This window comes from Homo sapiens, chromosome 12, assembly GCF_000001405.40.
Source record: "Homo sapiens chromosome 12, GRCh38.p14 Primary Assembly".
NCBI classification, from domain to species: domain Eukaryota; kingdom Metazoa; phylum Chordata; class Mammalia; order Primates; family Hominidae; genus Homo; species Homo sapiens.
Window position 1 is genome coordinate 121,472,306 of NC_000012.12, and position 19,416 is coordinate 121,491,721.

The following is a 19,416-nucleotide window of genomic DNA, read 5'->3' on the forward strand; positions in this document are numbered from 1 at the left end:
CTAACACAGTGTAAATAAAAGGAACTTTCTAACCACTTAACATAGCATTCCAGGGCTACCTGGATAAAACTGTAATTCGAACAGTGACAGTAGGACAGACCAGGGGCTGCAGTGATTTCTCTTAAGGAAATTCCTAATGTTACTTAATTGCTTTTTATTTTTCCCCTGGAGAGTCGTTCCACAAGCATTTAAAAACCACATATATTCATCATATAAATAGACTCTAAATAGACTAAGCTTTCTGTTAAGTGAGAATTCTTCTCCTAATTATGTCTCCTTACGTTACCAAAAACCACCCAATAAATATTTACATTCACTGGAAGATGTGTGACTGTGCACAGGATTTTTAAAAATTAACTAATTTAACAGGTGACTGGCATTGATCTGAGACATGTTTTTCCACCACTCACCCCATTCCCAATGCCTTTGCTGACCTTAGAAAGTTACTTCCCTTCTCTATTCATTTCCCTATCAAAATCCACACTAAGGCTCAGCGAGGCAAATTGAATGACACAAGTGGGTTCACTTTATAAACCACCCCCACATAAAAACATGAGAAGCTAAATATATGTAAAATGCCAGCCTAATTCTGGCCTATAATCAAGATTTTGTAATTTAATGATTTTTTTTTTATAACAAGATAAAATCTCCCTGTTGGTTTGCTTCCTAAACAGAGCACCAATCCCATTGTCTAGCCCATCATCCTCCAAAAAAGGACCTTGGAGAAATAAGATCTGAAGTTCTGTGGACCATAGACTCCAAACAAAAGCCCAAATCCAAAGATTATTCAAAATGAGATGACAGGTTGGGCGCAGTGGCTCACGCCTGTAATCCCAGCTCCTTGGGAAGCCAAGACAGGAGGATCACTTGAGGTTAGGAGTTCGAGACCAGCCTGGTTGACATGGTGAAATCCCATCTCTATTAAAACTACAAAAAATTAGCCGGGTGTGATGGTGGGCATCTGTAACCCCAGTTACTTGGGAGGCTGAGGCAGTAGAATCGCTTGAACCTGGGAGACGGAGGTTGCAGTGAGCCGAGATGGCACCACTGCACTCCGCCTGGGTGACAATGAGACTCTGTCTCAAAAAAAAAAAAAAAATCAAAATGAGATGATAAAGAAGACAGTAAATGGCTGGGCTCGGGTGGCTCATGCCTGTAATCCCAGCACTTTGGGAGGTCGAGGCAGGTGGATCACCTGAGCTCAGGAGTTTGAGACCAGCCTGGCCAACATGGAGAAACCCTGTCTCTACTAAAAATACAAAAGTCAGCCAGGCATGATGGCACACGCCTGTAATCCCAGCTACTTGGAAGGCTGAGGCAGGAGTAAAGCTTGAACCAGGGAGGCAGAGGTTGCAGTGAGACAAGATTGAGCCACTGCACTCCAGCCTGGGTGACAAGAGCAAAACTCCCAACTCAAAAAAAAAAAAAAGAGAGAGAGAGAGAGTAAAGAGGCCAAAATATGAATAAAATTATCATCACTGTTCATAGCAGTTTTATTCACAATAGCCACAGGTAGAAACGATTCAAATATCCATTTGATTTGTGAATAAACAAAACACGGTCTATCCCTACGATGGAATTATGATTCAGCCATAAAAAGGAGTGAAGTACTAACACATACTCCAAGGGGAATGAGCCTGGAGAGCATGATGCTGAGTACAAGAAACCAGACACAAAAGTCCACATATTGTATGATGCCATTTATATGAAAAGTCCAGAATAGACAAATCCATAGAGACAGAAAGCAGATTAGCGGTTGCCAGGGACCAGGGGAGGGGGAGCAGGGAGTGACAGCTGATGGGTACGGGGTTTCCTGTTGAGGGTGATGAAAATATTTTGGAACTAAATAGAAGTATTGGTTGTACAACATTGTGAACGTGTTAAATGACAATGAATTGTTCACTTTAAAATTTTTAGGTTAGGTACGGCCGGGCACGGTGGCTCACACCTGTAATCCCAGCACTTTGGGAGGCCGAGGTGGGCAGATCACGAGGTCGGGAGATCAAAACCATCCTGGTGAACACTGTGAAAACCCCGTCCCTACTAAAAAATACAAAAAAATTAGCTGGGCGCGGTAGCGGGTGCCTGTAGTCCCAGCTACTCAGGAGGCTGAGGCACGAGAATGGCGTGAACCCGGGGGGCAGAGCTTACAGTGAGCAGAGATCTCGCCACTGCACTACAGCCTGGGCAACAGAGCAAGACTCCATCTCAAAAAAATAAAAATTTAGGTTAGGTAGATATTACCTCAACAAAAAGCATATACAGTCATGCTCTTGCAGAAAAACGTTTTGGTCAATGATTGTGGTCCCACAAGAATATAATACCATATTTTTACTGTACCTTTTCTATGCTTAGATACAAAAATAGCTGGGCATGGTGGCTCACGCCTGTAATGCCAGCACTTTGGAAGGCTGAGGTGGGCGAATTCCTTGAACACAGGAGTTGGAGACCAACCTGGCAACACGGCAAAACCCTATCTCTACAAAAAATACAAACATTAGCTGGGCGTGGTGGTGCACATCTGCAGTCCCAGCACCTGGGGAGGCCGAGGAAGGAGGATCTCTTGAGCCTGGGAGTTTGAGGCTGCATTGAGCCATGATCATGCCACTCACTGCTCTCCAGCCTGGGAGACAGAGCGAGACTCTGTCTCAAACAAACAGAAAACCAAAAATACCTACCATAGTGTTACAGTTGCCTACAGTATTCATACAGTAGCATGCTGTACAAGTTTGCAGCCCAGGAGCAACAGGCTTTACCATACAGCCCAGGTGTGTAGAGGGCTATATCATCTAGGTTTGTATAAGGACATTCTATGACGAAATTGCCTAATGATGCATTCTTCAGAATGTATCCCTGTCATTAAACTACACATGACTCTGTGTGTGTGTGTGTGTGTGTGTGTGTGTGTGTGTGTGTGTGTGTATTTCATCAGACATGTCTTCCCTAGGTTAGCTAATCTGGTCAAAAATGGACACACAAAAAAACTATACCAAAACTTGGAGGCCAGGTGTGGAAGCTCATACCCGTAATGCCAACACTTTGGGAGGCTGAAGCAGGAGGATCACTTGAGCCCAGAGAGCTTGAGACCAGCCTGGGCAACACACTGAGACCCTGTCTTTACAAAAAATAGAAGAAAATTTAGCCAGGCAAGGTGGCATGCACTTTTAAGTCCCAGCTACTCAAGAGGCTGAGGTGTGAGGATCATTTGAGCCCAACAGGTTGCGGCTGCAGTGAGCCAAGATTGTGACTGCACTCAGTCACCCTGGGTGACAGACAGGGACTCTGTCTCAAAAAACAAAACAAAAAAAACAGGCACAGTGGCTCATGACTGTAATCCTAGGACTTTGAGAGGCTAAGGCAGGAGGATTGCTTGAGCCCAAGAGTTTGAGACCAGCCTGGGCAACATGGCAAGACCCCATCTATAAAAAAAAATTTTTTTTAGAAAGAAAATCTTGGAGATGAGGAGAAGACTAACCCCCCTGCCCCACAACCCCCACGTCTTTGAATAGATGTTATTTTCTCTCCAAGAGTTGGGGCATCTCCCTATGGCTCTATCATCACTCAAGAGAGATTTTAGGCCAGGGGCAGTGGCTCACACCTGTTATCCCAACACTTTGGGAGGGCAAGGTAGGAGGATTACTTGAGTCCAGGAGTTTGAGACCAGCCTGAGCAATAGAGTGAGACTCTGTGTCCAAAAAAAAAAAAAATGCCCGGCACGGTGGCTCACGCTTGTAATCCCAGCACTTTGGGAGGCCAAGGCGGGCAGATCACCTGAGGTCAGGAGTTCAAGACCAGCCTGGCCAACATGGTGAAACCCTGTCTCTACTAAAAATACAAAAATTAGCTGGGTATGGTGGCAGGCACCTGTAATCCCAGCTACTCGGGAGGCTGAGGCAGGAGAGTCACTCAAACCCGGGAGGCGGAGGTTGCAGTGAGCCAAGATTGTGCCATTACACTCCAGCCTGAAGGACGAGGGCGAGACTTCGCCTCAAAAAAAAAAAAATTAGCCGAGCATGGTAGTATGCCTGTAGTCCCAGCTATTTGGGAGGCTGAAGTGGGAGTACTGTTTGAGCTCAGGAGTCCCAGGCTGCAGTGAGCTATGATCACGCCACTGCACTCCACCCTGGGTGACCGAACAAGACAAGCGGCATCCAACAGGTAGTTTTTTGTTTTTTGTTTTTAAAAAAAAAAAACCCTGTCTCTTAAAAATAAAATTAAAAAGAGTGACTTTAGGTCCTATTCCTGAAAGGTAACACGGTTAGAAACTATAGGCCCTAAACCCCGGGATGTGTTAAAACTAACTGAAACAAAGAGATAGTTCAATCACCTCTTAAATGAGCTGCTAACAGTCACTGTGGGGGTCTGATGGGCTCCGATGACACTTTAATTCCAATACATATGGCTTTTCTCTCCCTCCTTCCTTCCCTCCCTCCTCCCTTTCCCTGGCTGCTGCCATGGGCCTCTCTCTTCAGTTACCATTCTTGTTCTTCATTTCATGGATTTTCATAGATCCATCAAGACACTCAAAATAGAAAAAGCCTGACAAAATCTATTGTCACCATTTGAAATAGCCATTAACCAACTCCTTACTTTGAAAATCAGCATTTAAAGGGCAAGAAGTGAAGCCCTCACACTGCTGGCTCAGGAGGAACTGTTTTTAGGGGTAGCCCCAGTTGACAAGGAAAAGCTCTGCCAAACATCGCCAGCTAATTCACACGGAATGACATTCTTCAAAGATCATTTTTCATCTCCTGATGAAACAATTTTTTTAATTTGAATCTTGTAGAGACGGAGTCTCACTCTGTCACCCAGGCTGGAGTGCAGTGGTGCCAATGATAGCTGACTGCAGATTCTAACTCCAGGCCTCAAGCAATCCCCCCATCTCATCCAACTAGCTGGGACTACAGGCACAAAGCCACCACACCAGGCTAATTTTTTTTATTTTTTGTGGAGGCATGGTCTCACCTTGGCTTCTAAAAATGGTACCTTCTAAAAAGGTATTGTAAAAATACCTTTCATTACAGGTATGAGCTACCATACCTGGCCTGGCCCCAGTTATTTTTATATATGTATGTATATATGTATTTATTTTTTTAAGAGACAAAGTCTACTCTGTCACCTACGCTGGAGTGCAGTGGCACAATCACAGCCCACTACACCCTCCAACTCCTGAGCTCAAGGGATCCTCCCTCCTTAGCCTCCTGAGGAGCTAGGACTACAGGTGCATGCCACCATGCCCAGCTAATTTTTTTCTTCTTTTCTTTTTGTCTTTCCTTTTTTTTTTTTTTGGAGATGGAGTTTTGCTCTTGTCACTCAGGCTGGAGTGCGATAGCATGATCTCGGTTCACTGCAACTTCTGCCTCCCGGGTTCAAGCGATTCTTGTGCCTCAGCCTCCAGAGTAGCTGGGATTATAGGTGTCTGCCACCACACCCAGCTAATTTTTATATTGTTAGTAGAGACAAAGTTTCACCATGTTGGCCAGGCTGGTCTCAAACTCTTGACCTCGGGTGATCCACCTGCCTTGGCCTCCCAAAGTGCTAGGATTACAGGTGTGAGCCATCGTGCCCAGGCTTTTTTCTTATTTTAAAACTTTTTTTTATCATTAAAAAAATTTTTATGGAGACGGGGATCTCATTATGTTGCCCAGGCTGGTCTTGAACTCCTGAGCTCAAGGGATCCTCCCGTCTCAGCCTCCCAAAGTGTTGGGATTACAGGCGTGAGCCACCTCAACTGGCCTTAAATCTTTTTAAAAGTTCTGTAGAAACAGGTTCTCTCCATGTTGCCCAGGATGGTCAACAAATAACCCTCCCGCCTTGGCCTCCCCTCCCAAAGTGCTGGGATTACAGGAATGAGCCACTGCGTCCAGCTTCCAATATTTTTTTTCTTTTTATGTTCAGCAGTACATGGGCGGGTTTGTTATATAGGTAAATGGTGTGTCGAAGGGGACTGGTGTACAGATCATTTCGCCACTCCGGTAGTAAGCACAACAATACCCAATAGGTAATGTTTTTTGATCCTCGCCCTCTCCTGCCTACCTCCACCCTCAAGTAGATCCTTTTTTTTTTTTTTTTAAGACGGAGTCGTGCTCTGTCGCCCAGGCTGAAGTGCAGTGGCGTGATCTCGGCTCACTGCAACCTCCGCCTCCCAAGTTCACGCCATTCTCCTGCCTCAGCCTCCCGAGTAGCTGAGACTACAGGCTCCCGCCACTACGCCCAGATAATTTTTTGTATTTTTAGTAGAGACGGGGTTTCACCGTGTTAACCAGGATGGTCTCGATCTTCTGACCTCATGATCCACCCGCCTCGGCCTCCCAAAGTGCTGGGATTACAGGCGTGAGCCACTGCGCCCAGCTGACCCCAATTATTTATACTGGGCTCAGGCTCTGTTTTTTTCTTTTTGAACACAGGGTCTCACTCTGTTGCCCAGGCTGGAAGGCAGTGGCACGATCTCGGCTCACTGCAATCTCCGTTGCCCAGGCTCAAGCAATCCTCCCACCTCAGCCTCCCAAGCAGCTGCGACTACAGGCACGTACCACCACAACCGGCTAATTTTTGTTTGTTTGTGTGTGTGTGTGTGTGTGTGTGTGTGTTTTGTAGAGACAGAGTTTCGTCATGTTGCCTAGGCTGTTCTCAAGCTCCTGGGCTCAACTGATCTTCCCGCCTTGGCCTCCCAAAGTACTGAGATTAAGGTTTGAGCCACGGCACTGGCCTCAGGCTGTGATCTTGAAGCTCAGGGGTAAAGGGAGTTCTCAATTTCTTTAATCTTTAAAATGGAAGTAATGAACTCCTATACCACAAGGAGGCGCTATAAATAAATTGGTAAACAGTGGAATGTCGGGTCTTTTTTTAAGAGATGGGGCTTGGCCGGGCGCGGTGGCTCAGGCCTGTAATCCCAGCACTTTGGGAGGCCAAGGCGGGCGGATCATGAGGTCAGAAGATCGAGACCATCCTGGCTAACAAGGTGAAACCCGCCCCTCCCCACCCCCGCCGTCTCTACTAAAAATACAAAAAATTAGCCAGGCATGGTGGCGGGTGCCTGTAGTCCCAGCTACTCGGAAGGCTGAGGCAGGAGAATGGCGTGAACCCGGGAGGCGGAGCTTGCAATGAGCCGAGATCGTGCCACTGCACTCCAGCCTGGGCGACAGAGCGAGACCCTGTCTCAAAAAAAAAAAAACAGATGGGGATTACACTGTCTTTAAAAGAGTGGTTCACATGTGTCCCAGCTACTTGGAAAGCTACTTGGGCCCAGAAGTTCGAGGCTGCAGTCAGCATCATTGCACTGAAGCCTGGGCGACAAACTGTGACTCCATTTTTCTCTCTCTCTCCTTTTTTTTGAGACGGAGTCTTGCTCTGTTGCCCAGGCTGGAGTGCAATGGCGTGATCTTGGCTCACTGCAACCTCCGACTCCCAAGTTCAAGCAATTCTCCTGCCTCAGCCTCCCAAGTAGCTGGGATTACAGGCACGTGCCACCACACCCAGCTAATTTTTGTATTTTTAGTAGAGACAGGGTTTCACCATGTTGGCCAAGCTGGTCTTGAACTCCTGACCTCAAGTGAGGCACCAGCCTCGGCCTCCCAAAGTGCTGGGATTACAGGTGTGAGCCACCATGCCCAGCTCTCTCGCTTTTAAAGAGACAGGGTCTTGCTGTTCTCACCCTGCCTAGAGTGCAATGGTGTGATCTTAGCTTAATGCAGCCTCTAACTCCTAGGCTCAAGCAGTCCTCTTGCCTCAGCCTCCCAAGTAGCTAGCACTTCAGGTGTCGCCCACCACACCTGGCTCCTGATGACATTATTGATACAGGAAAAAATGATCAACAAGTGCTGAAACCATCCACAAATGTCCAGGGAGGCGGGCAAGGAGGGGGCCAAGGCACCACCACCCAGATTCTCTGGAGCAAGGAGAGAAGAATAACTGAATAATGGGATATCAGACTTCCATTGCCTTAACCAATGATTATATTTACTTTAACCAAGACTTTAAAACTTATATCCAATTTACAGAAGTTGCAAGAACTAAAGAACAAGCTAAATGACACCACAAGACACACTTGGACAAATGCATAGAGTGGGATATTCTATGGGACATGTGGCTCTTTGTTTTCTACAAATCATGTCCTGAGAAAAGTCTGTATTAAAAGAGAGAATTAAGAACAGGTTCAGGCCAGGAACGGTGGCTCATGTCTGTAATCCCAGCACTCTGGGAGGTTGAGGCAGGAGAATCACTTGAGCTCTGGAGTTCAAGACCAGCCTGGGCAACATAATGAGACCCTGTCGCTACCAAAAAAAAAAAAAAAAAAAAAAAAGCCCCACAAAAAACTTAGCCGGGTGTGGTGGTGCACACCTGTAGTCCCAGGTACTCAGGAGGCTGAGGTGAGAGGAGCACTTGAGCCCAGGAGACAGGGTTGCAGTGAGCCAGTATCATGCTACTATAGTCCAGCTTGGGTGACAGAGCAAAAGACTGTCTTCAAGAAAACCCAAAAAACAAAAAAACAGATACTCCTTCCCATGCTGGCCCCACACCCGGCCATCGCCTGTCATCTTGTCTCATAAACACTAGCAAAGAAAAAAGAGAATCTAAATGACAAGAAAAAAAATGCTCTTTATAAGTGAGAGGTGTTTTTTTTGTTGTTTTTTTTTTTTTGAGATGGAGTCTCGCTCTGTCGCCCAGACCAGAGTGCAGTGGTGTGATCTCAGCTCACTGTCACCTCCACCTCCCGAGTTCAAGCGATTCTCCTGCCTCAGCTTCCCAAGTAGCTGGGACTACAGATGCACCACCATGCCCAGCTAATTTTTTTTTTGTATTTTCAGTAGAGACAGGGTTTCACCATGTTGGTCAGGCTGGTCTCCAATTCCAGACCTCAAATGATCCACCCGCCTCAGCCTCCCAAATTGTTGGGTGGTGTGAGCCACCGGGCCCAGCCGATGAGAGTATTTCTGATTCTCTTCATCCTGCTTTCCTGATGAGATGTTTCTGTTCGTTGGTGGAAGAGGTCAGTGATTTAGAGCAGGTTTGCACCTACTTTCTTTTTGTGTAATTAAGACTCCCCCCTTCATCCTTCCCAACTTTGTAACATGAAGCAAAAATAAGTGATGAAAATATTTCACCTGTCTAAACCCAACCTTGTCCCTTTTTCAATAGGTCACCTAAATTTGAGGGACAGATTATCTGACAACATCGTTTGGTTGAGCATACATCCATCTTCCTAACAAAGCCAAATTCGAGAAAGAAGTCGGGGGGGTGGGGGCGGGGAATGACAACTTATTCCTAATGTCAATGATCAAATGTCCTCCTTTAATGTGGGAAATACACAAAGTCTAAAGGATAAGCCATTATTCCAGAAATAAAACCATGGTAATGCCAAGCAATCGGTTATAGTACCTGCGTGGCTTTCTAATTACTCCAAAGGCCAGAGCCCTCAAGATCTCAATTGCTTTTCAAGAACTTATCTTAGGGTTTTTTTTGTTTGTTTGTTTGTTTGTTTGTTTGTTTTGAGACAGAGTTTTGCTCTTGTTGCCCAGGCTGGAGTGCAGTGGTGCAATCTCGGCTCACTGCAACCTCTGCCACCCAGGTTCAAGCGATTTTCCTGCCTCAGCCTCCCAAGTAGCTGGGATTACGGGCACCCGGCACCACATCCAGCTAATTTTTTAGTATTTTTAGTAGAGATGGGGTTTCATCATGTTGGCCAGGCTGGTCTAGAACTCCTGACCTCAGGTGATCCACCCGCCTCGGCCTCCCAAAGTGCAGGGATTACAGGCATGAGCCACCACACCCAGCCTATCTTAGGCATTATTAACTCAGCCAGCTGAGCAGGTTATCACACCAAAAAAGAAATCCTTGGCCACTGACTTTAATTACAGGTTATGTCAGGTGAACGTAGTCTTGAAGTTCCAGTAAAATGGTTCTAAAACAGACAATGCTGAAAAATTCCAGGTGATGTAAGATCTTTCTAAGTCTAGTGGGAAAAAAGGGGATGCCTAAATTTGTTTTTGTTCTTTTTGTTTTTTTCATTGTGTTGTTTTGAGACAGTCTTGCTCTATCACCAGGCTGGATCGCCAGGAGCTATCTTGGCTCACTGCAACCTCTGCCTCCTGGGTTCAAGCAATTCTCCTGCCTCAGCCTCCTGGGTAGCTGGGATTACAGGTACCCGCCACCACGCCCAGCTAATTTTTTGTATTTTAGTAGAGACAGGTTTCACCATGTTGTCCAGGATGGTCTCAATCTCCGGACCTCGTGATCCACTCGCTTCGGCCTCTCAAAGTGCTGGGATTACAGGCGTGAGCCACCGCACCCAGCCTTCTTAGTACTCTTCTAATGAGCATTCATTTAACATCTGGCGGGGACTGGGACACAGGAGTTACATAAAGAACAAGTGAGTCACAAACAGGACTCAGAAGCATTTGGAGTACAGGTGAAAGACAACAAAGACATGAAACTAATTGAATACGGCCTCATCTTTCAGAAGCTCTGGGAAAATCTTGCTATTGACTTCATTCATTCAACAAGTATTTCCTGGGCCCTTGCAATCTGGGAGCAGTTTGCGTTGACAGGATGCAAAAATGAATAAGGAAAACGTTATTGGGCCAGGTGCAGTGGCTCACACTTGTAATCCCAGCACTTTGGGAGGCCAAGCGGGGCGGATCACCTGAGGTCAGGAGTTCAAGACCAGTCTGGCCATGGTGAAATCCTGCCTCCACTAAAAATACAAAAATTACCTGGGCGTGGTGGGGGGCGCCTGTAATCCCAGCTACTCGGGAGGCTGAGGCAGGAGAATCGCTTGAACCCAGGAGGCAGAGGCTGCAGTGAGCCAGGATTGCGCCACTGCACTCCAGCCTGGGCAACAGAGCAAGACCCCATCTCAAAAAAAAAATAGTAAAACATTATTAAGACAAGCTCCATGCAGTGAACCGAGATTGCACCACTGCACTCCAGCCTGGGCAACAGTGCAAGACTCCGTCTCAAAAAAAATTTAAAAATATAAAAAAAACACACACCAAAGACAAGCTCCAGTCTCAAGATGCTAGTGGAGGCTCCGTTCACATATGTCCAGTCAACCAAAATGCAGAGTAGACCGGTATTAGGCCCTATGGCCAGGTGCAGTGGCTCACGCCTGTAATCCTAGCACTTTGGGAGGCTGAGGCAGGCGGATCTCTTGAGCCCAGGAGATTGAGACCAGCCTTGGCAGCATGGCAAGACCCCATCTCTACTAAAAAAAATACGAAAATTTAACTGGGCATGGTAGTGTGTATCTGTAGTCCCAGGTACCTGGGAGGTTGACATGTGAGGATCCCTTGAGTCCGGGAGGTGTAGGTTGCCATGAGCCGAGATTGCACCACCGCACTCCAGCCTGGGTGACAGAGTGAGACCCTATCTCAGAAAAAAAACAAAAACAACAAAAAAAACAAACAACAACAACACACACACACACACACACAAACACAAAATGCAGAGTAGAATGCAGAAGTGCAGTGGGGAGAGAAGTGTGGAAGCGCGTCAGCCAGGATCTTGGCAGGAATCGGATGGCACCAAGGCCCCCTCACACTGAGGCATAATGGAGAGTTTAGCAGAGGTTTGATTGACAAAACGTAAACAGGGCTAAGGGAAAACAGCCAGGCCTCGATGCAGCCAAGCCCAGGGACAGTGAAGAGCTGTTTCCTCCCCTTGGCCAATGGGCAAGGGGAGGGAACAGTGACCAGAAACAGAAAAGTTGAAGAAGGCCACACAATAGAGATGTGGTCTGCCATGGATGGAAACACTCAACCTGCAATGATCCCACAGGGAGGAAGCTGGAGAAATCAATACCCCGCCTCCCTCTCCTCCCACCTTCCCCTCTCCTGCAGGTGCTTCCCACAGGCTGAGCCCAACCAGAGGCCAGAGAGGCAAAGAAGCCCCTTGCAGCAGTCCATAAGGAGGGTGAGGCGGCTGGGGAGGGGCTGAGGTGCAACTGGAACGCGTCAGCTCAGGAGGCTCCCTGGTGAGGAGGGAACTGGGTTGGGGCTGGCATGGAGAGGATTTCTACATGGGAGAAATGGGGAAAAGGGCACTCCGAGAAGGAAGGAGTGTAAGCAAAGACAGAGGTGGACTGGTCCAAGGAAATCATGGAGGAATTTGGTTCCCCAGCAATGAAAGGAAGATGAGAGGAAGTCAGGAGAGTCTACGGCACAGCGACAGATGGCGACTTGGGCACTCAAGGCCAGGCTGACAAGCCGGGAGAGGCTTTTAACGAAGATGGAGGCCGGACATGGTGGCTCACGCCTGTAGTCCTAGCACTTTGGGAGGTCAAGGTGGGAGGATCACTTGGGCCCAGGAGGTCAAGACCAATCTGAGCAACAGAGTAAGACCCCATCTCTACAAAAAAAACAAAATTTAGCTGGGCATGATGGTGCACACCTGTGGTCCCAGCTACTTGGGAGGCTGAGGTGGGAGGATCCCTTGAGCCCGGGAGGTCGAGGCTGCAGTGAGCTGTGATTGCGACACTGCACTCCAGCCTGGGCAACAGAGCAAGACCCTGTCTCAGAAAATAGAAAAAAAACTTTAAAAAATAAAAATAAATAAAGAAGATGGAGAATCACTGAACGATTGATAACAAGGGTTGGGGGCTGACTGTATCCAACCCCAAAATTCATATGTTGAAATCCGAGCCCCTAGCACCCATATGATTGTTGTCCTTATAAAATGAGGAAATCTGGGCACAGACCCTTACACAGGGAAGATGAGGTGAAGACCCAGGGAGACCACAGCTACCTACAAGCCAAGGAGAGAGGCCTGAAGCAGATCCTCCCACAGCCCCAGATGGAACCTGCCTGCTGACACCCTGACCTTGGACTTCTGGCCTCCAGAACTATGAGGCGGTACGTTTCTGTCATGAGCCTTTGTTATGAAGCCCTAGTCGACTAATACACAAGGGAGTGCTGTGATGGGGTCTAAACTTCAGGAGGTTACTTTGACAGCTGGGAGACTAGAAGGGACTAAGCCTGGTGGCAAATGGGTGACACCAGTTTGAGGATGTTGAAAATCATTCTGTGATCGGGTTTCCAGAAAGAGGACACTAACCCGAAGTCGCCCTGTAAATTCAACACCTAGGGGCCATCCCTGACACCTCCCCTCAAACCAGCAGTAGAAGCATCCGATTGTCCTATCAGTGCTGCCTCCCAAATATATCTGGGATCCAACCTCTTCGTTGCCACAGTCACTACGCTAAACTGATCCACTGTTATGAGACCTTCAGCAATAGCCTCCTTGATGGCCTCGCCCTCACCAACTGTCCCAACTTCACACTATTCTGTCTTCAAAAACTTTCCGTCGGGGGGCAGTGGGAGGGGAGAACGGGGGGTGAGTGTTAAACAGGGCCAGGGTTCCGGGGCTTCTGTTTGGGGTGATGAAAGGGTCCTGGAGATGGTGGGTGGTGATGGCTGCACAACACGTTCAATAATAATAACGCCACTCAACTACGCAGGTAAAAATAGTTGAAATGATAACTTTTTTTTTTTTTGAGATGGAGTCTTGCTTTGTCACCCAGGTTGGAGTGCAGTGGCGTGATCTCGGCTCATTGCAACCTCCACCTCCTGGGTTCATACAATTCTCCTGCCTCTGCCTCCTGAATAGCTGGGATTACAGGCATGCGCCACCACACCTGGCTAATTTTTGTATTTTTAGTACAGACAGGGTTTCACCATGTTTGCCAGGCTGATCTCGAACTCCTGATCTCAAGTGATCCACCCACCTCAGCCTCCCAAAGTGCTGGAATTACAGGCGTGAGCCACCATGCCCTGCCTGAAATGGTAACTTTTATGCAACATATATTTTACCACATTTTTTTTTTTTTGAGATGGAGTCTTGCTCCTTTGCCAGGCTGGAGTTCAGTGGCACAATCTCGGCTCACTGCAACCTCCACCTCCCGGGTTCAAGCTATTCTCCTGCCTCAGACTCCTGAGTAGCTGGGATTACAGGTGCCCACCACCATGCCCGGCTAATTTTTGTATTTTTAGTAGACAGGGTTTCACCTTGTTGATCAGGCTGGTTTCGAACTCCTTTTTTTTTTTTTTTTTTTTTTTTTTTAGGGGAAACGGGGTTTCATCATCTTGGCCAGGCTGGTCTTGAACTCTTGACCTTGTGATCCACCCACCTCAGCCTCCCAAAGTGCTGAGATTACAGGCGTGAGCCACTGCGCCCGGCATTTTACCATAATTAATAAAAATCACAGACCGGGTGCAGTGGCTCACTCTTGTAATCCCCACACTTTGAAATACCAAGGCAGGCAGAGCACATGAGGTCAGGAATTTGAGACCAGCCTGGCCAATACGGTGAAACCCTGTCTCTACTAAAAATACAAAATTAGCCAGGAGTGGTAGCAGGTGCCTATAATCCCAGCTACTCGGGAGGCTGAGGCAGGAGAATTACCTGAGCCCAGGAGGCGGAGGTTGGTACTGAGCCAAGGTTGCACCACTGCACTCCAGCCTGGGTGACACAGTGAGAATCTGTCTCCAATAATAATAATCATAATCATAATCATCATCATCACAAAGCCAAGCATGGGGGTGCACACCTGCAGTCTCAGCTACTCAGGAGGCTGAGGTGGAATGATCTCTTAAGCCCAGCAGTGTGAGGCTACAGTGAACTATGATTGAGCCACTGCACTCCAGCATGAGCAACATAGTGAGACCCCCCCGATACAAAAAATAAACAAAATCAGTTGGGTGTGGCGGCGCATGCCTGTGGTCCCAGCTACTCAGGAGGCTGAGGTGGGAGGATCGCTTGAGCCCAGGAGGTGGAGACTGCAGTGAGCTATGATCACACCACTTGTACTCCAGCCTGGGCAACAGAGCAAGACCTTGTGTCAAACAAAAGAGAAAGGAAAGAAACAAAAGAAGGAAAGAAAGAAAGAACGAAAGAACTGGGGCATCCTTTTGCCACCCATATTTTTCTCTCAACGGGATTTTTCTGCTGTTGATGTTGTCTACAACATTATTTAGAAGCAGCAGAACATTCTCTGTGGGCATTCGTTGATTGGAGGTTTTTATGGACCTCCCAAGAATCTGCCAGACTCCAGACTCCATAAATGACTCAGACGTCAGGAGGAACACGTTTGGGATTCCAGATCGGAGGCCCAGGTTTCTCTTCGCGTGGTTCCCCTCACCAACCCTCCAAGGATCAACTTGATTCTCCTGCCTTTCTTTGCTCTCCTGGGACCCTCATCCTGGCCCTGCGGCTTCCATCGCAGCCTCCTCCCAGCATGTTGAGCTGCGCTCTTCCTCTTGGGGAGCTGCTCTCCCACAAGCCTTTCACCAGACCCGTCGTGCCCTCAGCACTGGACATCTGACACCCTTGGCCTTTGACACCCTCTCCTCCTACCCTGACCCAGTAGAGAACCCCATGGTCTCAGTGGCCTCAAACCCCCAGGGGCACATTCTCAGGCAAACCATCACTCCCCTCCAAAGAGCCTAGGACTCCTCCCGTCTAGGAGGAGGAAGAGATAAAGGAGAAGCAGCTTCTTTTTTTTTTTTTTTTTTGAGACAGGGTCTTGCCCTGTGGCACGGTGTCGCGATCTCGGCTCACTGCAAGCTCCGCCTCCCAGGTTCAAGTGATTGTACTGCGTCAGCCTCCTGAGTAGCTGGTATTACAGGTATGCGCCACCATGCCCGGCTAATTTTTTGTATTTTCAGTACAGGCAGGGTTTCACCATGTTGGCCAGGCTAGTCTCGAACTCCTGACCTCAACTGACCCGCCCGCCTCAGCCTCCCAAAGTGCTGGGATTATAGGCGTGAGCCATCCTACCTAGCTAAAGCAGCTTCTTAAATCAGTCCCCACTCCCAAACCCCCAGGAAGTGCCAGCCCATTTCAGCACAGCCATAACTATTGCAAAGAAATTAAGTCATTCAGGTCCTTGCTTGAGATTAAGTTTTGCACAAGCAAATGATAATTTTGGGATGGGAAATGCCTCTAAACCATTCAGCCCCTTCCGCTGCTCCCTGCTCCTCCTCTCGTGTCCTCGATTTCTATCAAGAACATCAAAAGCCTTCTGGGTGGGCAGATTCAGGGTTACTTTTAAACCATAATTACGAAAAACTAGACTAGCAAACACTGATTGATGGCCCACTCTAAAGGCATTTTACAGACAGCATCTCACCACAGGCCCGCAAGAAAGGCGCTGTTAGCACCTTTCACAGATGAGTAAACTGAGGCTGAGACTTGCCCAAGACAACACAGCTAGTCAGTGGTGAAGGAAGGAGTCCACCCACAGGTGCATCTGACCCCAAAAATGCATCCGAGTAGTGCAGAGAATGACCTGGGAAGCTTTTATTTATTCATTTGTATTTATGTATTGGTTTTTGTTTCCCAAGATGGAGTCTTGCTCTGTTGCCCAGGCTGGAGTGCAGTGGCATGATCTCAGCTCACTGAAACCTCCGCCTCCCAGGTTCAAGCAATTCTCCTGCCTCACCCTTCCGAGTAGCTGGGATTACAGGTGCCCACCACCAGGCCTGGCTAATTTTTTTTGGTTTTTTGTTTGTTTGTTTGTTTTGAGACGGAGTTTCGCTCTTGTTGCCCAGGCTGGAGTGCAATGGCGCGATCTTGGCTCACTGCAACCTCTGCCTCCTGGGTTCAAGCAATTCTCCTTCCTGCCTGAGCCTCTCGAGTAGCTGGGATTACAGGCGTACACCACCACGCCAGATAGTTTTGTATTTTTTAGAAGAGAGAGGGTTTCTCCATGTTGGTCAGGCTGGTCTTGAACTCCCGACCTCAGGTGATCCGCCCACCTCAGCCTCCCAAAGTGCTGCAATTACAGGTATGAGCCACCATGCCTGGCCTCTTTTTTGGTATTTTTAGTAAAGATGGTGTTTCACCATGTTGGCCAGGCTGGTCTTGAACTCCTGACCTGAAGTGATGTGCCCAACTCGGCCTCCCAAAGGGCTGGGATTACAGGTGTGAGCCACTGCGCCCGGCCGGGTTTTATTTATTTTATTTATTTTATTTATTTATTTATTTTTGAGACAGAATCACACTCTGTCACCCAGGCTGGGGTGCAGTGGAGTGATCATAGGTCACTGCAGCCTGCAGCTCCTGGGCTTAAGTGATCCTCCAGCCTGGGCCTCCCAAAGTGCTGAGACTACAGGCGTGAGCCACCGCACCCGCCCCTGAGAAGCTTTTATTTTTTAATGAGACCAAGACTCACTCTGTCACCCAGGCTGGAGTACAGTGATGCAATCTCAGCTCACTGCAACCTCCGCCTCACAGGTTCAAGTGATTCTCCTGCCTCAGCCTCCCAAGTATCTGGGACTACAGGCGCCTGCCACCATATCTGGCTAATTTTTGTATTTTTAGTAGAGATGGGGTTTTACCATGTTAGTGAGGCTGGTCTCGAACTCCTGGCCTCAAGTGATCCACCTGCCTCAGCCTCCCGAAGTGCTGGCATTATAGGTGTGAGCCACCACGCCTGGCCCTGAGCAGCTTTCAGAAAGTGCAGATCCCAGGCCCACCCCAAGCCTACTCAATGTGCTACGTCAAGTGCGGGGGCCAGGAAGCTGTATTTTTTCACAAGTCCCCCAGGTGAAGCTGATGCCACCAGCCTGGGGACTGGTCCTCATTACAGCACACGGCCTTCCTGGGAAATTACAGGACCCTGAGTAGGTGGCAATACACGACAGCCATTATTGCCAGCCTCCTCCGCCTCAACTGCACAGCATCAGCTTCATGACTGCGGGCCGACAGGACTGAGAGCGGGGCAGGGACCCGCCGGAAGCACTCGGGGCCTCTCTCACTGAATCACGTGCCTCTCCTTCAGGGAAAGGCTGTGTGTCACTCCGGAGGGACCCCAGACGGAGCAGGCCTCTGGGATGGAACGGACCAACTTCGGAGGAAAGGGGAGAGAGACAAAGCAGAAGCAAAGGTCACAAGGCATCGAGGGTGTGTTGCTTCCTCCTGTGGCTCCTGTGTGGCCCCAAAATGTCCCCGTAAGGAAGCTGATCCAACAGCTACTGATGAGGACTGTCTCCATGCCCCCATCAGGGTGCTTGTCCTCCACACTCCAGCCTCTCTGCTCCCATACTCCAGAAAAATTGCCAATAATTGAAATTCAAGTGGCAGCCTGGTTTGGCCACTAGAGATAATGGATGAAGAAGCTGGCAGGGTCCACAGGCTGGCTTGCTAGCCAGAGGCAGTCATGGCTGGGTCCTCCGTCCTTCCTCAGTTTCTTCCTCTGGGAATAAACCAGCAAGCCAGCCAGTAGCCATGTCTGGCAGCTGAGCCAGGGGTCAGCTCACTAATAAGGCCGAGGTCAGAGGCTGGGCCTCAAATAAGCTCCGTTCCTTCACCCAGCCTGTAAGGTCACAGACAGGCCCCCACCATCCTGCCCGTTGGTCATAAAAGGAAGCAGCCAGAGTGTAGACAGATCAAAACAAATCCTACACCACTCGTGGAAACAGCCAGTCGGGTGGATGGTGATAGATGGTGGCTCAGTAGCATCTTGGATATGAAGGACACCGCATCAGAAATGACCTCACAGCACCTAATCAGTTCCAGAAAAGGGCTTTGTTCTCCTGGAGGCAAGGTGGGAGATCAAAGCATTTCTTGCTAATCATCACTTAGCATTAATTACTTGTTAGGTAACCCGACCCAGATCAAATACCACTCCCTACCTCGCATCCTGAGGGCCTCAGTGAGCACCCTTGATCTTTCACCCCAACCTGCATCCAATGGGAGGAAGCTGCAACCTGGGAACCCAGAGACCCCGGGCAGCCCAGGCAGTCAGTCGTTTAGTTACTTCTTCCTTTCCTGTTAACTTTTTAACCCCACCAGCCAGGAAATGCATAAACATAGCAGGGGCCTCCCTCCCCACTCTCCCCGCCACATATCACTGGTTCCTCACTGTGCAATGACAGAAACCTGCACATCTGGGGTCCAACGCCTTTCTTCTCCTAAGGAAGTGGCCCGAGAGGCACTGCTGCACCTCTCCGAGCTCTGTGCTTCCTCAACTGCACTGGGGCGATAACACCCTCCATCTCCCAGCCTCATGGGAAGGGTAAAGTCAAATAGACAAACTGCATCTGGAAGCTGCTGTGTATACTGGGGAGTGCCCAGGAGTTTCAGCTGAGCTGGTGGTCATTTATTTTCAGGGCTCGGTGGTGGACCTGGGGTATTCATTCTTCTTCTGCTTCACACCATTTTGTGGCTCTGAAGTTATTTACTTCCTTATTTTTAAAATATTTATTTATGACCGGGCATGGTGGCTCACGCCTTTAATTCCAGCACTTTGGGAGGCCGAGGTGGGCACATCACCTAAGGTCAGGAGTTCAAGATCAGCCTGGCCAACATGGTGAAACCCCGTCTCTACTAAAAATACAAAAAATTTGCCGGGCGTGGTGGTACGCGCCTGTAATCCCAGCTATTCGGGAGGCTGAGGCAAGAGCATCACTTGAACCCAGG

The 19,416-nt window shown here is 48.5% G+C and overlaps 1 protein-coding gene across 46 annotated transcripts in view, besides 3 other annotated features; it reads right to left on the reverse strand.

Moving 5' to 3' along the window:
- KDM2B (lysine demethylase 2B) overlaps positions 1-19,416 on the reverse strand; it is a 173,819-nt gene that overhangs the window by 63,845 nt on the left and 90,558 nt on the right. The window lies entirely within an intron of this gene.
- Positions 3,891-4,718: an enhancer, noted in NCBI's record as "OCT4-NANOG hESC enhancer chr12:121913999-121914826 (GRCh37/hg19 assembly coordinates)". NCBI's record gives its function as "activates a minimal SCP1, AML or CMV promoter by ChIP-STARR-seq in primed H9 embryonic stem cells {active_cell/tissue: H9 hESC(primed)}" and the evidence as "EXISTENCE:reporter gene assay evidence [ECO:0000049][PMID:30033119]".
- Positions 15,215-15,726: an enhancer, noted in NCBI's record as "H3K4me1 hESC enhancer chr12:121925323-121925834 (GRCh37/hg19 assembly coordinates)". NCBI's record gives its function as "activates a minimal SCP1, AML or CMV promoter by ChIP-STARR-seq in primed H9 embryonic stem cells {active_cell/tissue: H9 hESC(primed)}" and the evidence as "EXISTENCE:reporter gene assay evidence [ECO:0000049][PMID:30033119]".
- Positions 18,097-18,810: an enhancer, noted in NCBI's record as "NANOG-H3K4me1 hESC enhancer chr12:121928205-121928918 (GRCh37/hg19 assembly coordinates)". NCBI's record gives its function as "activates a minimal SCP1, AML or CMV promoter by ChIP-STARR-seq in naive H9 embryonic stem cells {active_cell/tissue: H9 hESC(naive)}" and the evidence as "EXISTENCE:reporter gene assay evidence [ECO:0000049][PMID:30033119]".